Source organism: Homo sapiens, chromosome 9 (genome assembly GCF_000001405.40).
Source record: "Homo sapiens chromosome 9, GRCh38.p14 Primary Assembly".
Lineage (NCBI taxonomy): Eukaryota > Metazoa > Chordata > Mammalia > Primates > Hominidae > Homo > Homo sapiens.
The window spans coordinates 68,467,791-68,488,580 of NC_000009.12; the positions used below are offsets into that span (position 1 = coordinate 68,467,791).

A 20,790-nucleotide genomic window follows, 5' to 3' on the forward strand; every position below is an offset into this window, starting at 1 on the left:
TTTGCTTAATGTTTATATGAAGAGAAGCTATTGATTAATATGCTTTTTCTCTGGTTTGCAACTTCCTTAGTTGCAATTATAGTAATTATTAATTTAATTATCATATTAATTGTAGTGGATTTTTTTTCCAAAAACTCTATATTCTCTTGGGATTTTAAAATATATAATCACATAATCTATGAATAAAATATTTTTTGTGTTTTTCCCCTAAAACCTACAACCCACCCTCCCTTCCTTCCTTCCTTCCTTTCTTTCTTGGCTCAGGTGCACATGTGAATGTTTGTTACATGAGCAAACTCATGTCACAGGGGTTTGTGGTACAGATTATTTCATCACCCAGGAATTAAGCCCAGTACCCAATAATTGTCGTTTCTGCTCCTCTCCTTCCTCCCACCCTACTCCTCAAGAAGACCCGGTGTCTGTTGTTTCCTTCTTTGTGTTCATAAATTCTCATCATTTCGCTCCCACTTATAACTGAGAACATCATGCTTATATAGACTATTGTTCCCATTCCTAGTTACTTAGAGTCTTATATATTGTATACAATAATTCTGCCACTAGTTAGTCAAATAAATCTAGCAACTGGAATGAAAACTGGTAAGTACAGGTTATCCCTTTTCTCTGTCTTTATAAGCATTTATTAAGTGTTTACAATATATTATAGACTTTTAGTTTCCAATTAAAGGGGTAAATATTCCATGTGTAAGCCATGTTACGCTTTTAGTAATAAGTATTTGCCTATTTCAATTCAATAAACATTTACTCAGTGCTGACAGAGTACCAGGCATTGTGTTGGATGGTGTGTAGAATACAAAATGCTCAACACCACACCCTTCAGAATTTTCTAATAATTTCCTCTATCCTCATTTTCCCCCTCCCCGTTAACAGTTTGTTCTAATTGGTTCTAAAAGATCTTACACTGTAATTGGCTGATATGTCTCTTAAGTCTCTTTTAATCTACGTTTCTCTTCTTTACATTTTGCCCTTATTATTTATTCATTGAAGAAACTGGGTCATATTTCCTATAGAGCTTTAAAATTGCCTTTTACCATTGCTAGGATGGGAATAGCTTTCTCTTACTGATTTTCATATCCTAAAGAGAAGTACACAAGTGGAACTCTAAAAGTAATTTCTTAATTGCTTTGGAGATGGACTCTTGCTCTGTCACCCAGGCTGGAGTGTAGTGGCACTATCTCAGCTCACTGCAACCTCTGCTTCCTGGGTTCAGGTGATTCTCATGCCTCAGCCTCCCAAGTAGCAGGACCACAGGCGTGTGCCATCACTCCCTGACTAATATTTGTATTTTTAGGAGAGACAGGATTTCACCATATTGGCCAGGCTGGTCTAAAACTCCTGGCCTCAAGTGATCCGCCCACCTTGGCCTCCGAAAGTGCTGGGATGGCAGGCATGAACCGCCATGCCGGCCACTATTACTTTTTACTATGTGTTCTTTAAAAACTAATGTCAATAGTCATACAAATTTGCCAACTAAAATCAAGCGATGTAACAATGTTTATTATTTCCAAGAAAGTACTCTGTTGAGTCTTTCACAGAAATAATAGTGTTTTTTAAAAAAAAAATGAGCACTTAGTATGTACCTTTTGTATGTATTCATCTTTTTCTAGAAATTTGGAATTGAATCCAGAGCTGCTGGCATTAGCATGAGTTGTCCATACTTGTCACACCAAATTTTTCCACTGTGAACTCTGAAGTACAGCCTGGTGCTCTTGAAGTTGACTGTTTTCATATGTGCCCAATTTCTAGCACAAGAAGGGGCCCTGAGTGTGTGTGTATTCTGTGTCACAAGGACTCTTGAGTATCTTTCCAGTCTTTTGAGGTTTGCTGGATGCTTCCATGCATGGATTCCATGCCAATATTGTAAATGCCCTGAAGACAGGGCCCATGTCTATCTTTCTCAGCTCTATTTCTTTGATGAATGGTAGGCCCTAAGTAAATGCTTGTAGGATGGGTGGAAAGATAAAAGGATGAATGGGAGAAGGGAAGGAAGGTTGGAAAGATGAAAGGAAGATAGGTGGGTGGAAGGAAAGTACAAAGAATTTTCGTTTTGTTATCTCTTCCTTGTATTATTAGTAGTTATCTTTTTGTCATCCTTAAATGGATGTATTTCTGAAGATCTGGGTATTTGGGTATCCCAAGATTTGGGAAGATTTATAAAACAAAATCACACAAATACAGACCATTTGGAAAGGGATGGGGAGAGATGTTATGAATGATAACAAAATTAGAATTATATAAAATATAATCTTTAAATATTTTCAATCATCATAATTATTAGCACAAACTAATAGCTAACAACATGCTTCTAGGGAGATCTCCCTTCCTGGAACTAGTGTTAATAAACAGATTTTAAATTATTTATAATTTATTATGTTAACTTGTTTATTTCTTATGCCTGTAGTTGTTGACAATAACAGAAATAGCCATGTTCAACAGTGGGCTAGGTTCCAGCTTTAGTGATCTTTTGTATGCACCAAATTCTTACTGACTTTAGCATAGTCATTTTGTGCTCTGTTGTCTTATGGTTTATGTTATCATTCTCCAGTTACTTTGTGAATGAGCACTTTATTTCCCCTGAGAGTTGTAGAGTTTGTAACATGTTTAGGGCCATGCCTCTTTCTTCATTTATATTTCACATATGAATGATGTATATCCTAACTGAAGATTGGGTTCACAATAGTGCTGTTGCACAAATACTGAGTAAGTTTAACTGTCTCTTATTTATACAATTATTACATTTACTATTTTATATTCCTCAAAAGGTAAAATATAGGAAAACTTTAGTCCATTCCCTATCTGGATGGTTATTCCCTCTACATTTGTCTCTTTTCGCATCTGCCGATTCTAGTCTCTAGGAGAGAGAAAGAGGCCATATATCCATGCATTTCAGATTACTGAGGTCCTACTGCACTTCTTTTTCTTATTTGTGGCCAGTGTGTATAAATTTGGCTGGGTTGCAGATGTGCGGTGTGGAGGCCATGATGACAGCATTATCAGTGCTAGATGAGCAGTTTCTCTGTGGGGCTATTTGAAACAGGCTGAGTGCATGTGTGCATTTCAATCTAGGCTGGGCCAGAGCACAGAGGTGCTATGATTGACACCCCCGTGAGCCTTCTTATAAAGCCAGAAAATTGAAACTCCCTTCTGGGTCCTCTGTGAATGATCAACCCCTGTGCCGGGAAACAGAACTCTCACTTAGCATTGGAAGAATGTCTCCATCACTAAGATCCTTTTCTTGGAATCTCAATGGTCCCAGTTCCATTGATCCTTCTATTAATCCTCCAAGCTAATGAAAAGTGGTAAGAGGGAGTGTTGTGTGACACCTAAGGGTGGAGCAAAAACAAAGGAATGGGGCTTCTGAAACCACATCTGTACTGACCAGAGTATCCTGGGACTGACTGGGAGTCCTGAGACATCATGGCTCTTAGTCAGAGACTGAAGACTTCCAAACAGACTAAGGGGTTCTTTTCCCAGTGTCTAGTAAGGGACTTTTAACAAGGAGAACTGTCCCTTGGGATTTAAAATACAATCCCTAAAGTTGTGCTTCGAGGCTTCCCAATCTGCATTCTAGGAGACTACTGGTTGCTAGGTGGCCCCACTGAGAACACAGTACAGTGACTGTAGAAGTGACAGGTCTTCAACCTTAAAAGCCACTGGAGAGATTTTTGATTCAGTGTATGACCTGTCAAGAAACAATTCTTAAACAGGTTATGGTGGTTTGTGCCTATGTGGGAAGCTGAGGCAGGAGGATTGCCTGAGGCCAGGAGTTCAAGGCCAGCCTGGTCAACACAAAAAGACCCTGTCTCTTAAAAAAAAAAAAAAAAAGAGAGACTCGGTGCAGTGGCTCATGCCTGTAATCCCAGCACTTTGGGAAGCCAAGGCGGGTGAACTCCTGAGGTCAGGAGTTCAAGACCAGCCTGGCCAACATGGTGAAACCTTGTCTCTATTAACAATACAAAAATTAGCCGGATGTGGTGGCGGGTGCCTGTAATCCCAGCTACTCGGGAGGTTGAGGCAGGAGAATCACTTGAACCCAGGAGATGGAGGTTGTGATGAGCCAAGATCGTGCTACTGCACTCCAGCCTGGGTGACAGGGTGAGACTCCATCTCAAAAAAAAAGGACAATTCTTAGAGTCCTATTGTTCCTATCTGCCTTGGTGACAAAAAAAAAAAAAAATGAGTTGGGATGTATGAGTTAGGAGCATGCTGGTATGCTCTGTGAGGGAAGCATGTCAGCTGGCTGGCCATGATATGGTTAATGTGCTCCCTGCTCTGGGATGGATGGCTTGATGCCTCCTAAGTGATAGACACAATTCCTAGTGCCTCCTGTACTTTATTTTAGAGTCTTCTTCACAATGATGGTATAGAGACCCTAATGACCCCATTTTGTTGATGAAGTCGTTGAGGTTTAGGGAGGAATGTCAAGCCGCTGGCCAAAGTCACACTGGCTGAGCCACAATTCAAACCCAACCTTGCTGGCTTCACAGTGTCTGCTGCTGATGTTTTCAGTTCATGCTGATGAGTCATTTCCCACCCTCCCCAACCCCCTCCTGGTTATTCTTTTGGATGAAGGTAGAAGGAATGCCAGGGGACTTGGGAGAATGGTCTCATGTAAACAGCATGGCATGAGAAGTTGAGGGACCCAGCTTCCATCTTGACTCCCCCTCTCTTAGACAAATAGCTTAGCTTCTCTGTGACTCAATTTCCTCATTGCGAGACAACTTCGTCTGAGGGGATGATCTGTAGGTTTCTTCCATCATGATATTTCAGGTTGCTTCTAACTAGCTACCCTTAGTGAGGAGCAAACCTGATGAATTATATGCACTACATACTAAAGAGGCATTCATTTATTCATTCAGTGAACATTTACTGCACACCTTCTATGAGCCAGCCCAGGGTAGAGTGCGAGTAATTTCAGACACAGGCCCTTCCCTCAGGGAGTTTATAGGGTGTTGCTATGGTCAGGATATCAGCCTTGTGTGAAACACTATTTATTACTATTTTACTTATTAAATGTGTTGTGACACAGAATTATTCACTGGGAGCCACATTGCCCACAGCACAGGATGTGTCCTTTGCTGCTGTCTGACTCTTCTGCGCTTGCACCTGGCTCTGACTTACATGCAGGAGAGCTTTGTTCTCTAATTGATGAACATTAGGTACATTTAAGAATATTTTTTTAAGCATAGAAAGGTGACTTTTTTTTCAGTGAGCCTTGCTTTTTCACCTGATGTTAAAGATCTGAACATAAGTGGTTTGAGAAATGAAAATCAATCTATCTATCAGTCTACCGATCGATCGATCGATCTCCATCACAATTCTGTAGCATGTTCTCAAATCTCAGATCCACCCAAAAAGAGTGACCCCACTTTAACCTCATAACTCCACTATTTTTCAAAGACAAATCTTTATCTTGAGTAGCTGAAAAAAGGATGAGAAGGCTGCAAATTAATGAAAACCATTTCTAAATGAAAAAAGGTAAACTGGAGAAATAAAGGGAAAATTTGCAGCTTGTCCTTTAGAAAGCCTGCCCCAGCTCTCACCACATAGGATGCTTTACCCGCTTTCTTGCAACTCCTGAGGGCCACAGCATTGCTGGGATAATCCAGTGGCAGTTAAGTCCATAGGCTTTGGAGCCAAATTGCCCAGCTTGGAACCTTCTTTTTACCACTTAGTAGCTGTGTGGCCTCATACAGATGACCTAAGCTCAATCTCTTATTTGTAAAAGGGGGCTATCAAATTGTGGAAATTAAATAATAGATGCATAAAATCCCCTAGCGCAGTGCCTGGTGCCTTGCTGCTTTCTTCTTAGAATGGAATTTATCCTCCTTGTGATTGTGCTTCAAAAATAATCAGGAACCTCTTTGAGTGAGTGGCCTCTCTTATTGTATGACCAACAATCCTGGTTTGTCCAGGACTAAGAAGTTTCATGAGATGTGGGACTTTATGTGCTAAAAGTGGGAAAATCCCATGCAAACCAGGATAAGTTGGTCACTCCAAAGCTGGCAAAGTCCTCAGTTTTCCAGATGAAAATGGCAAGGAGAAATCTTGATACTGAAGCTGACTCCAGTGAGAACCCCCCCATGTGAGCAAGGCCAGGGCCGTGAATTAAATGAGAGACCCATGGCTGCTTTCCCTTAGCACCACATTCAAGCAAAAAGAGGAAGAGGCCTCACTCACTACCCCCAGGCATTCTGCCCCAAACATGAGACTGCATACGGTGCCTTTCTGCTGAAGCAAGTGACTTTCAAGCCCGGCTGCCTGTGAAAATCACCCAAGGAGTTTTTAAAAAAGAAATACCAATGCCTGGGCCCCATCATTAAAAGTTTTTATTTTATTGGCTCAGGGTGAGACCTGAGCATTTGTATTTTTTTAAAATCTCCTTGGGTGATTCTAATGTGCAGTGCAGGGTTGAAAATTGCCAACATATGTTACAACTTGGAGTTGGCAACAGGTGCAAATTGACTTATAGTTTTCCTAATTGACAAATTTAGAATTTCCTTATCTGAGTTTCAGCTGTAATGGCTTGATCTGTTAGTAATGCATGGGATGCTTTATTGAGCTGATGTGTCCATACTGGTGTTTCCATGTGAAGAAAACATCTTTAAGATGATTGAGCATTCTCTTTATTTTTCCCTTTTCTTTTGTGAGGGCAATATACTTATTAGTGTCCTGCCTAGCTCAAGTAGCATGGTTTTGAAGATTGAGAAAATTCAAAGTTTAATTTGAGTGGAGGGGGAACAGTGATATTTCTCTAGAAAAAAAAAAAGGCCTTCTTTTTTGTACCAGTTTTTGCTGGAGTCATGGCAGAGAAGAGCTGAGCGCCCTCCTTCTGGTATGTGGATGGAGATGGCTGCTTCTCAGGGCTGCTCAGAGTAAGATTGCGTGGGCTTTGGGCTGGGCTAGGTTGGATGAGAAAGGCAAGGTGAGTGGTACTTACAGCTTTGGAAATATGGGTATATTCTCCCTGCAATGTCCTGAGCCAGGCAGCAAGCTTCAAAAATTGTGCTGGTGTTATTCAATGCTAAAAAGACACTCACTCTCAAGCCATAAAAAGACATGAAGGAACCATAAATGCATATTATTAAGCAAAAGAAGACAATAAAAAAATACATACTAGATGAGCCCAACTATATGACTCTAGAAAAGGCATGTTTTAAATGTGAATTTCTATGCACCATTGACAACTTTGTTTACTTTATTTTTATTTATTGTTTTTTTTGAGACGGAGTTTCACTCTTCTTGCCCAGGCTGGAGTGCAGTGGTGTGATCTCAGCTCACTGCAACCTCTACCTTCTGGGTTCAAATGATTCTCTTGCCTCAGCTTCCCAAGTAGCAGGGATTACATGGATGTGTCTGCCATCATGCCTGGCTAATTTTTTTTTTTTTTTTTTTTTTGTATTTTTAGTAGAGACGAGGTTTCACCATGTTGGCCAGGCTGGTCTCAAACTCCTGACCTCAGGTGATTCCCCCACCTTGGCCTCCCAAAGTGCTGTGATTACAGGTGTGAGCCACCGTGCCTGGCTAACAACTTTAAAAATTTATTTTTTTCTTATGAAATAATACGTTGTTATTGCGAAAATATTTAAAAGGAAAGAGAGGAAAAGCATCTGCAGTTCTACCACTTCAGAGATAATAACCATGTTAAGAGTTTGGTGTATATTCTTCTGTTTACTTGTGTACACACATATATACATATCTATATTTTTTATAAAAATATACTGAATATTCTTTTTTAGTAAACTGATTTTTCATTTATTAAAATTGAATGCACAATTACCTATTGGATACAATGTTTTCTATTTAAGTGATGAGTACACTAAAAGCCACTAGGCAATATATCCATGTAATAAAACTGGACTTGTACCTCCTGAAACTATAAAAATAAAATAAAATGAAAAGAATTGAATAAACATGGTTTTCTGTGTTACTAAAGATTCTTGTTTGATTTATTTTGTCTACCCACAAGGTTTTGAATGAATTTTGTGCAATGATCCTATTGTTCAACAATTAAGCCTGGGCAACACAGTGAGACCCCATCTCTAAAAAAGTAAATAAATAAATTAGCCAGGCATGGTGGTGTGCACCTTGAGTCCCAGCTACTCGAGAGGCTGAAGTGGGAGGATCACTTGAGCCTGGGAGGTCGCGGCTGCAGTGAGCCATGATTGAACCCCTGTACTCCAGCCTGGGTGACAGAGCAAGACCCTGTCTCAGAAAAATCAAAACAATATTTTTCCAATTTTTCTTTATTCTCTTATCTACTTCATTGAATGTCCTATGACTTAAGGTTAAGAAATAAAATAGCTGGGTCGAAAGCTGCATGATATTTTTAAAGACTGTTGATCATTATTGCCAAGTTAACTCTTCCCCCGTCAAACCTTTGCTAACCTGACAGGCCCCAGATGGTATCCCATTTTACACACTTTTCTTTGACCACAGTGAGGGTGAACATTTGTTCCAATGTTGACTATTATTATTTTCCTCTGACAATTGCATGCTTGTGCCTTTTCATTCCATTGTCCATTGAGGTTTCTCTTTTTCTTATTGACCTATGAAAACATTAAAAAAATATCCAGCCTATTATCCCTGTCATATATATAGTGTGAACATTTCTACTCCCATTTTTACTCTGTTTATAGTGGGGTTTTAGAAAACCATTTGATACCTTTGTGCTTTCTGGAATTTCTTGTTTAATCTGCCTGTCACTGATACAGCATAGCGTTCACTTGCCTGAAAGCCTTTTTAAAAGGAGAGTTATAGCCCCCAAATCCACTCCAAAGTACACTATAATCATCCAGTGGAAACATCTGTGTAATTGAAGCATCATTAATGTCTCTGTCCCAAACTCAAAGAACTATAAAGGGCATTGTTAATTTTACTTCATCATCAGCCCCTTATTAATCTTGGCAAATGTTTAACTTGTAGGCAAGGATGTCCAAGCCAACTCACAATTTACTATGCAATTGGCTACAAATGTTGAGGTGGGTTTTTTTGTTTATCCACCTAAAAGAACTTTATGTCCCTCTAGCACTAAATTATGACATCTTATCTCACAGATTTAACAGCATCTAATGGTTCTATCTCTAGGTAATGTAATCCAGCTGGAGTTCGAAGGTATGCAAAGCCCATGTTTTAGAACAAAAGGGTATTTTTCTCTAGCCAGTAAATAAAAGTGATTTTTTTTTTCAGCTGTAAAAGGACAAAAGGTTTTGAAGTGATCCCACTGGGCAGGGTTTCCTAAACTTGTTTTTTGGCAGTTGGCCATGGAGCTAACTCAGTCTTCCAAACTTCTTCCATTTTTGTAGCAGTGTAAAGAATTCACTGGATAAGACTAAAGACACTTCATGGTGTGATGATTAATGCCCAGGGTCCTGTTAACCCAGAGGCAACCACAACTGGACATCCAACAGTGCCATTAGCAGACCGTTGATCAGTGTGTAGGAAGAACTAAAAACCTGACCCTTTTTCTTATTGATTTTAGTACCTTCACAGCCCCCCTCAGGTTTGCATGTTTTCCTTATTGAGAAAAAAAGTTTAACATTTAACACCATAAATGTCACAAGTACGGTAAATGGTCTGTAGCTTTAGTTAGAAGTTGTCAAAGATGTTTGACTTAAGTATTGTTTGATCCCATTTTCAGGGGTTAAACAGCTCTGTGGCGTTGCGTCTCCCTTGTTGGTTTTCCATGTATGTTTTGTAGTTCTGAAACCCAAGAATACTGTTGTCCATTCTCATTGCCCTGCTGCAAGAAGGTCCACTCTGTGGACCCAGTCCTGTTTCTTAAGACATTACTATTGCTAGAGTGAGAGGATAAAATTACATGAATAACCAAGAACAATTTCTGAAAGCAGGTATTGAGGAATCAGCACCTTGCAGTAATTCACACAGCTTTATTAAAATTACCAACAACAAGATCAACAGCAAAGATATGTGATATCCCAGCCACTGTTCTGAACATCTGGGCATATTTAGTTGCTTAATCCTGACAGTAACCCCATGGGGTAGGGGCTGTTATTGTCCATAGATTACAGATGAGTACCGCAAACAAAGGTAAATGGCTGAGCCAGGATTAGAACATGAGAAATCTAACTCTAGAGCTTGTCCTCTTAACTTGATTAAGTTGATACAACAACAATGCCGCAAAATGGGTGATGGGGTCCCCATTTTACAAATGAGAAGCTGAGGCTCAGGGGAATTAATGACTTTGTAATAACTTTCCACACATCTGTGAAGTAGCAGTTTGGCTTAAGCCCTAATTCTAAAGCCTTCCCCAGGATACCACATGTCTCGTACTACAACACATTTCTTTACATACAGGGCTTTATTCACTTCAGAGAGAGCTTATAACTGGCTAACAGACAGATACCCAAATGGGCCTGTGACACACTCTTCTGGGTTCTCATTGCACAGGAAGCTGGTCATTTAGACTGCAGTCTTCATTTGTGTGCCTGATGCAATAAGAACTGCCTCCAACTCTTTCTATATGAATAGCTGTAGGATATACCTTCTCTATTCATTCCTGCCTCAGGAACTTTGCTTTTTCTGTGCCCTAGCTTGGAATACGTCATCCCCAGATCTTGGCATGTCTGACTTCTTCTCAGGGGTTAGCTCAGATGCCATTGCCTCAGTGGGGGCAGACCCTAACTATCTGTATTAATCTCCTAGGGCTGTCATAACAAATCACCACCAACTGGGTGGCTTAAAGCAGTAGAAATGTATTCTCTTATAGTTCTGGAGGCCAGAAGTCTAAAACCAAGGTGTAGGCAGGACCACCCTTCCTTGGAAGGCTGTAGAGGAGGATTCCCCTTGCCTCTTTCAGTTTCTGGTGGCTCCACATGTTCCATGACTTGTGGCGGCACAACTGTAATCTCTGCCTCTGTCTGCACATAGCTTGCCCCTCTGTATTTCTCCTCTTCTGTGTCTTCTCCTCTTCTTATAAGAATGTTTATCATTGGATTTAGGTGCTTGAGATAATCTCACCTCAAGATTCCTAACTTAATTGTATCTGCAAAGAGCATTTCCCAAAATAAGGTCACATTCACAGGTTCCAGGTGGACATATCTGTTGGGTCGGGGAACCACCAGCCAACCTTAGGTCAAGCAGCTTTTGGTGCTGTTATGCTCTGTGACATCATCACCTCTTTATTTTCTTCAAAGCACTTGTCCTTATTTGATGCATCTTGTTCTCTTATCTACTTTTCTTTGCCTGTCTCCACCTAACTCCATCTACTTGGATTCAAACTTTATGAGTAAAGAACTATCTTGTTCACTGCTTTACCCCAAGACGTAGAACAATGCCTGATATATTGTAGGGGTCACTAAATATTTACTGAATAAATGAATAATCTCATTGGGCTAATGAGATGTCAACTTGGCTCTCTGATCCCTTCAGAAATTTCCAAGTTTTATTTTTTTTACTATTTTATTTGAATTTCAGTTGGATATTTTTCAGAAATGCAAATGTATTAGGAGACATATATTTAATATAATGGGTAAATGATCCAATCATTTCTACATAACATTCAATCACTAACTGGTCTTCTTAATTCATTTAGCTTTTGCTTTGCTCCCACAAATGAATGCTCAGCAGAATTTTTCTTTCACCTTTAGGCTCTGACCACCTCCGAGAGAAGGATGGCCTGTGGGCTGTCTTGGTCTGGCTCTCCATTATTGCTGCCCGGAAGCAGAGTGTGGAGGAAATTGTCCGAGATCACTGGGCCAAATTTGGCCGCCACTACTATTGCAGGTGAGGAGAAGGGGAAGGGTCTCTGTATGGACCCTGAAGAACTACTCCTAGAACAGGTTTCTAAAACTGATGGGCTAGAACCTTAAAAAGGAGGCATCAGGCCGGGCGCGGTGGCTCACGCCTGTAATCCCAGCACTTTGGGAGGCCGAGGTGGGCGGATCACGAGGTCAGGAGATCGAGACCATCCCGGCTAAAACGGTGAAACCCCGTCTCTACTAAAAATACAAAAAATTAGCTGGGCGTAGTGGCGGGCGCCTGTAGTCCCAGCTACTTGGGAGGCTGAGGCAGGAGAATGGCGTGAACCCGGAAGGCGGAGCCGAGATCCCGCCACTGCACTCCAGCCTGGGCGACAGAGCGAGACTCCGTCTCAAAAAAAAAAAAAAAAAAAGGAGGCATCTTCCCAGAAGATCTGAGGAACACAGAGGCTGGAGCTGAATCACCCCTTATAGATAGTTGGGGGTGGTGTCAAAGGCTACCAAGCTGGAAGGCACCAATTTCCTTTCCCCTGATGACATCACTCTTTAATCTTTTCATCAATGCCTATAAGGTAGGTGGCCCTCTCAAGAGGAACTCTGAACTGCAGAGCTTTGAAAAGTTATTTGGTAACTATCATGGCTGTGAGAGCCGTGCAGTCAAACCAGAGGCATTTCTTGTTGGTTTTCCATTCATATTTATCAAGTAAAAAAGGCAGACACAGAAGCTGTGACAGGTTGGTATGCTTTCATAATCCTCTCTCTACCTCTTTCTTACCTCCTCACCAATAATCAGATTCAGTGTCCAAGATGCCTGAGCTGGCACCCCTTGAAGGAACCTCATGGTTCAAGAGCCCCAGATATTGTTAAAGTTTTGTCCTCATGAAAAGAGGTACAGGCCAGGTGTGGTGGCTCACGCCTGTAATACCAGCACTTTGGGAGGCCGAGGCAGGCGGATCACCTGAGGTCAGGAGTTTGAGACCAGGCTGACCAACATGGTGAAACTCTGTCTCTACTAAAAATACAAAAATTAGCTGGGTTTGGTGGTGCACACCTGTAGCTACTAGGGAGGCTGAGGCAGGAGAATCGCTTGAACCTGGGAGGCAGAAGTTGCAGTGAGTGGAGATCGTGCCACTGCACTACAGCCTGGGCAACAGAGTGAGACTCCATCTCAAAAAAAAAAACAAAACAAAACAAAACAAAAAAACAGGGAAAAAGAAGTACAGAAAAGGAAACCATTATTTTGGAAGGAAGAAAAGGAAAGATCAGTGGGTAGGAGCTTAGGGTTGGGGGTCTATATCACTTTCCCGTTGTTTAAGTAAATGAAAGTAAGAGTATTCTGGAAGTGTGGTTACTTGCTAGGAGTGTGAACCTAGGTATGCTAGATATGTGTACATAACAAGAACGAAGCCATGGGTTAGGAGGAGGGAGTAGGAAACGATGTTAACTGTAAAGAACTTGGAGGTGGGGCAAGGGAATCCTTGGGTAGTCTCAGAGACTCTGTATTAAAAGCAGAAAGATTGTGACTCATTTTGCTTTGTTTATGAATAGTTAACTACTTTGAATGTTTGGTTGTGTTTCAAGAGCTTAAGGGACAGAAAGAGAGCTTTAGACTTTCCTCATAAGGTGATTATTTCTTCTGTTAAGAAGACTTTTACTTAGATATGTATCAGAGAATAAGGAAGCCCATGACTGTACTCGTTAAAATCAAAGAGATTACAACCTTCTGGGAGATGTAAACAACAACAACATCATATTCTTAGTTCCCATTTAGTCAAGAAAGCTGGGGATGTGATAGCTTGCAAAACAACTCGAATTATTCAGTGTATCATAAAAAATGAATTCTCAGGACAGGTAGAAACTTGGTTTACTCATTATTTCTAACAAGTACCAAAACCCCCTGATTCATGTGTGTTTTCTTTTCCTGGCATACCAAGAGTTAATTGGCACATGACATTCTTCTATTGCATGAAGCTGTTCCAAAACGTCCAACCTGACAAAATATATTATGATTGACAACCTCTGGCCTAGTGAGATCGCTTTGAGTCAGAGATGTGTTCCTCATAATTTGTGGAATGATTATCTAGGTTTCTGCTGGTGTCTTGAATAATTGGTGTTATGGTAACTGTATTTATAATGTAGTTTATTTTTTGTGGCCAAGAGCTTACATGATAATTACTTCTTCATAACAAATACCATATTTGAAAATAATATGCAATACAGATTTAATTTCTTCTAGGACATTGAGTTATGTTTCAGATTTCTTTCCAAAAAGATCACAGAGATAAAGAAAAAGGGAGGAGAAAATACATAGAATGAAAGGTAAACATTTCCTTCAACCCCCAGCAAATGGCAAATTAGAAGGTGCTTGTGAAATGTAATTATTCCTAGCTTGACAATTTTCTTGGCAGGCTGAAAATAATAAAACAATTTCACTTTAACTAATACTGAGCCTGAATATCTGAGAAAATCTTCCAGATTATTTTTCTTGTATGAGTAGACCCCAGAAGGAATCTTCCATTTAAAGATTTCTTCCTTGAAAAGTGTGTTGTTATTGGTGGTGATCAGACGGGGATTTGGGGGTGGAAGGCAGTGCTAGATCCTGCTTGTATATGAAGGTGAACGTTTGGGCAAACAGATCTGATGATTCTCAACCCTAGACTGAACGTGATCTATCATATTAGTGGATTTTTTTCAACTCCTGAATCTCTTTCAATGCCTCTCTGTCTCCTGCTAGACTCTCTTCTCCTGTCTTCCTGCCCCTTTCTCCTTGGTTGGGTCTTTACCTTCTCCAAATGTCTACCTTTAAAGTGACTGCAGTCTCAGAATATATGCCCTGCTGAAAAAGAATGTTCTGAGGGAGTTCCTTTTTTTTCCCTCTGAGGCTGAGAAAAAAACACCTTGTGTAGGAGGAAGAGAATAAAAGAAAGGGATGTAGATGCAGGGGACCCATTGCTAGACATGGTATTATTCCATATTTTGCATCTTGGCTAATATGCTGATGTTTACTGGATGTCTTAAAGATCTTGAGTGGAAAAAAGTAGTAACAACTATTCAGAGCTTCCTTCTTCCAGTTCACTCTGAGAACTCACATCCTTTCTCTATGCTACAGGAAGCCCAAATGTAAGATCCTCCAAGTGACTTGGGTGCAGCTGCCCCTCCTATGGCTTCCTTCTTAAACAGACAGTCCTAGGTGTGCCATTAGGTCTCAGCCAAGACCATCTGACATTGTAAAATATAGTTTATTTATGGTGGTGATGGCAAATAAAAGTTGTTAGCTGTTTTTAAGCACAAGTGCCTGGCACTGTGCCAACTCTTGGTATACATCATCATATTTTAAACCCCACAATGACAAATGCAATTGGTATTATTTTTAGTCTTTTATTTTATTTTTTCTAATCGACTTCCAGCCCCATTGTTACATTTAATACGCTTGGCTAGGAGGACTTTTTTGAATGGAACAATTGTGATATTTCTTCCAAGTTTCCAAGAGTTCTATATTGTGCTCAGTTCCCCTTCTCCCTTTCTTTTTACCTTCCTTGATTTTTCTCTCTTTCCTTCCTTCCTTTCCTTTCTCCCATTTTTCATTCCATTCTACTTACATAGAACTTACTATGTACTAGAAATAGCAGAGAGCAAGACAGTTCCTGGAGCTCACGTTCTGGTGGCCAAAGACAGGCAATGAATAGGTAAACAAATATACAAACAAGATACATACAGTTTGGGATAACTACCAAAAGAAAATATGAAGGGTGATGAGAGAAGAAGACGAGTGGGGAAGCTGCCTTAGATAGATGGTCAGAGAAGGTCACATTCTAATGGTGACAGTGGGTTTGAAAATGGAAGGAAAGAACGAGCCTGGTATTTGAAGAGCTGGCAGAAGAATGTACAAGGTAGAGGGAACACACAGCTAGCGCAAGGGCCCAGAGGCAGGAAAGGGTGCAATGTCAATGCACACTGGAGAAGAGACCAGTGTGGCTGGAGCCAGTGAACAATGATAAAAAGACAGAACAAAGTTGAGTCAAAGAGGTGGGCCAGGGCAGATCCCACAGTGCCTGATAGACCAAGGTTAAAGTGTTGAGTTTTGTTCTCAATGTGATGGGAATTTATAGAGGGATTTAATAGAAAGAAAGTGGCATGATTTGATTTTTACAAGATTACTCTGGCCGCTGTATGGGGAATGGACTGTAAGGGTCAGATGAAAGAGGGGAGATGAGTTGAAGGTGCATTTCTGTGCTGTCCTTCCCTGGAAACAGAACCAATGATTAAATAACTGTAAGTGGGCCACCCAGTTGCTGGTTCTCTGATTAGGTTTCTGTTCCTCCTGTGTCCTCACCAGGTTTGACTATGAGGGGTTGGATCCCAAGACGACATATTATATCATGAGGGACCTGGAGGCCCTGGTCACAGACAAATCCTTCATTGGCCAGCAGTTTGCTGTGGGGAGCCATGTCTACAGCGTGGCGAAGACGGATAGTTTTGAATACGTGGACCCTGTGGATGGCACTGTGACCAAGAAACAGGTACTTGCTAGGAAATCACTACAACGGGTTATCAGGCAGAACCAGTGGCCAAAATGTCCTAGAACTGGAGAGGTCCTTAGGGATGATCTAAGGTGACCTCATTTTATAGATGAGAACTGTGCAGCCAGGAAAGAGGAAAGCCCTTGATGAAGGACACCTAACAAGTTAGTGCACAGGGTAGATTAGAACATGGGCTTTCTGTGGCCAGGCACAGTGGCTCATACTTGTTATCCCAGCATTTTGGGAGGCCAAGGTGGGAGGGTCACTTTTGAGCTCAGGAGTTCAAAACCAGCGTGGGCAACAAAGTGAGACCCCCATCTCTACCAAAAAAAAAAAAAAAAAATAGCTGGGCATGGTGGCACACAATTGTAGTCCCAGCCACTTAGGAGGCTAAGGTGGGAGGATCGCTTGAGCCCAAGAGGTCAAGTCTGCAGTGACTCATGATCACACCATTGCACTTCAGCGTGGGAGACAAAGTGAGACCATGTCTCAAACACACACACACACACACACACACACACACACACACAAAACAAAACAAACAAAAAACAAAAAAAAAAACAAAAGAACATGGGTACTCTATGTCCAGTATTTGTCCCACTTGGTAATGGATAGACCAATATGTCAAATAAATACAGACCCAACATTTCCTTATGAAATGTTTGTAGCCTGCAGGTGCTCATATGTGGTGGCCATTATTGGTGACAGATTCAGAAAAGTTACCAAGAACTAAAGATCCCTGTCCTTGGGGCCTCAGTGAGTCAGTCCTTGGAATTGTAAAGTCAGGAGCTCAGCTGGCATCTTTGAGCCCCCGTGCCCTGGATAGGTCTTTTCCAGTTTTGGACCACATTCCCACTTCCATTTTACAAACTTTTCTTAGATTCAAGTCTCATTTTGATGTAGAATTCAAGAGATATAAAATAATGTGCCTTTTAAAGTATCCTTGGGATATTTTTGCTCACCGACAAGGAAGGCTCGGAAACCATTCCTTCAAGGGAATGGTCTAATCCGCACTCAGTTATGGATTTTATCTACTTGCAAGAAGCTTGTCTGTTGAGCTTATTTGTTTTGCTGTTAATGCAGTATTCCTCTACCTTATATCTTCCTCAGTGTACTCAGTGCTTGGATACCTTTTCCTTAGATTTTCTTTAACTGTTCACATCAGGCCAGTTCTGCAACTGTATCTCAAGTTCATCTATTTATTTCATTTCCCCTCCCCCTCCATAACTCTGACTGTTGGTTTTCATTTTTACACTGGAATGTGTTTGATAGGGTTTGGCTGTGTCCCCACCCAAATCTCATCTTGAACTGTAGCTCCCATAATCCCCACGTGTCATGGGAGGGACCAGGTGGGAGGTAATTGAATCATGGGGGTGGGTTTTTCCTGTGCAGTCTTGTGGTAGTGAATAAGTCTCATGAGATCTGATGTTTTTATAAAGGGCACTTCCCCTGCACATGCTTTCTTGCCTGCTGCCATGTAAGACATGTGTTTGCTCCTCCCTCGCCTTCCACCATTATTGTGAGTCCATTAAACCTCTTTTCCGCTATAAATTACCCAGTCTTTGGTAATTCTTCATAGCAGTATGAAAATGGACTAATACAGTATTGATTTCCCCCAACCTCTTCTACACTCTTCTGTCTGAGCTCAATTGTAGCTATAAATGGATACATGCTGCCAGGATCTGCTCTTGGGAATTTTTCTGGTAAAGAAAGAAGGAAGTTTTTTGTTCCTTTTCCCAGATTCCAGGACCCAGGTGATATCTTCATTGGCTGGTGGTCCTGAGACACACTAGAGCTTCTTTGCAGGTCTGGGTTTAGCTCAAGGGGGGTGATGAGAGACCAGTTACTTAATACTTAGCAGCATCCCCATTGTTGGCAAGTTACAGATGGTTCCTTTGCTGCCGTTGGTCCTGTTGGGTAGAGGTGGAATCCCTGCATAGCAGTGTTGTTGAGACCCTCTCAGGATGTCAACATGCATCAGCATTCAGCCCCAGGGATAGTTGAGTCTGGGGTACACTTTAGGTAACATAGTGCAAAATAAGCATACTTTTCAAACTATAGACATCTGAAAGACATATTTGAATTTAAATAAACTAGTATTCTAAAATAACCATTAAGTACCTTGGTGCATTCATTCAGTGGATATTTATTGAGAGCCTACCAAATGCATAATTTGTTTTTTTTCATGGTACAGTTTTAAAATATAAATATATAGTATCTTTATTGATATATAATTCATATACCAGATGGTTCTCTCATTTAAAGGGCACACTTCAACAGTTTCTAGTATATTTACAGAATTGTGCAGTTATCACCACAACCAATTCAGAACACTTTCATCACCCCAGAAAAGAAATGTTGTGCTCTTTAGCTGTCATCTTCCTCCCAACATCCCTCCAACCCACAGCCCCTGGCAACCCCTGATCTTTCTGTCTCTATGGATTCGCCTATTTGGGACATTTTGTATAAATGGAATCATATAATACAAGGTCCTTTATGACTAGCTTCTTTCACTTATTGTAATATTTTCAGGGTTCATCCACTTTGTACCATATATCAGTACTTATTCCTTTTATTACCAAGTAATATTCTATCACGTGGATGTACCACAGTTTGTTTATCCATCCATTTGCTGTTGGATGTGTGAGGTATTTCCACTTTTTGACTATAATGCTGCTGTGGACATCCATCTACAAGTTTTTGTGCAGAGATAGGTTTTCAATTCTCCTGGGTACATACTTAGGAGCGGAATTGCTGGGTCAAATGGTATCTCTATGTTTAACCCTTAAAGGAACTGCCATATGGTCTTCGTAAGCAATTGCACCACTTGACATTCCTGCCAACAGTATATGAGGGTTCCAGTTTCTCCACACCTTTGCTAACCCTTGTTATTATGTCTTTGTGATTTAAAAATACTGTTATTTTAAAACAACCTACTATATTATGGATTATTTTTAAATTAAGATAGAAGGAGATTTGATTTCTATAAGGAGAAACAGAACTATATCTCTCTGTTAGCAAAGCTCAGAGGAGACATAATACTGCCAAGTGTCTGCTTCCTACAGGAGGCAGGTTGTTGTGGTTCTCTTCAGTATTCTCTTGTGTTGGAGTCAGATAGACACAGGATTGAAAGCTGGCCTTGTCACTGCCTAGATTTGTGATTTTAGGCATATTATTTAACTTCTTTGAACCTCATCTTGAGGGGAGGAGCTAGTGATAATTATCACACATGCATCATGGGGAAAGTTTGAAGAGAAAGTCATGTGAAGCCTCAGGTACAGCGGCAAGTACCTAATTGATGCTCAAGAAATATCAGTTCCCTCCCCTTGACCAGAATCCTTAATTTGATTGAATATCAGTTCAAGAAAAGGATACAACTATTCTCTCTCTCTCTCTCTCTGTGTCACACGCACATACACACACACACACACACACACACACACACACACAAATCAGGTGTATATTTTTAAAAGTAATAATCAGTGTGCCCTAGGGTTAGAAAACCCTCACCCAACTCTTCTATTTATTCTATTTTAAAAGTACTTTGCAGTAAAATTTGAGGCTCAGATTGATGATCCCAAGGTAGTGGGAGATTCCCAGTTGTCTCTTGTTTGGGTTAAATTCTACTTACTTAAAAAAAAAGTAGATAGCAGAAATAATTTTCAACAATGAATTGTTAAAATTTGTGCTGTTCCCGTTTTATACAGAAATTCTCTTCAAGAGCAGCTTTCTGCTCCAGAGCACCCAAGGCAACCTTGGTGCCATTGTAAATCGTGTGAGCAATGGTTGGGTGTGCAGGCTTGAAGTCAGAAAGTTTTGGGTTTGAGCCTCAACTCTGCCACCTCCTTGCTGGGTTATCTTAGGCAAGCTATTCAACCCCCCTACACCTGCATTTTTAAAATCTGTGAAATAGGAATAATAATTGTGGCTGTCTCATATAAGCGTTTGGGAGAATTAAGTGAGATGACACTTATAAAATCCTGGCACATAACAAATGATAACAATTGGTTAAATAAAATTATTTATGTTTTAAAAAAAGCATCCTTGGGAAAGACTGTAGCATTGAATGAACCAGATATGATAAGAAAAGCAGAAAAAAAACACACAATTTTGCAGTGTCACATAAAGATTTGAGAAGGCCCCTTCAGTTTCTAAGTCATCTGGGAATTGATTCAAACTCATATTTCTCCCCCTCTCCCATCCCCCAGCACACACACTCTGCTTTAGAAAGCGAAAGGTTTTTTAAGGCAGCTTGGTCTCCTTTATGTCCTTGACCTGAGGTCAGAGTCAGGAAATAAACCATGGAAAAAAATCCTGTTTCACATACATCTCCAGAGATAAAGTAGAAATGCTTCTCCATCCAAAATGAAATTAAAATCCTGTTCTGGTGATAACCACCCCACTACTGCCAACCCTGCTGCTGTGGAAACGTTCAGTGAAGGCTATCCTGCCTGGCTTTATGGGACCATTCAAGGAGCAAGAAGGAAACCCTGAAGTTCTCAACCCCTGACATGATTTCCCAGGGACCTCCC

The 20,790-nt window shown here is 40.7% G+C and overlaps 1 protein-coding gene across 2 annotated transcripts in view; it reads left to right on the top strand.

Moving 5' to 3' along the window:
- Positions 1-20,790, top strand: part of PGM5 (phosphoglucomutase 5) — a 174,451-nt gene that overhangs the window by 111,180 nt on the left and 42,481 nt on the right. For both annotated transcript variants that reach the window (NM_021965.4, XM_047423473.1), the window contains exons 8-9: positions 11,628-11,763; positions 16,075-16,258. In NM_021965.4, the coding sequence (NP_068800.2) occupies positions 11,628-11,763; positions 16,075-16,258 (320 nt within the window). The remainder of the gene's footprint in view (positions 1-11,627; positions 11,764-16,074; positions 16,259-20,790) is intronic.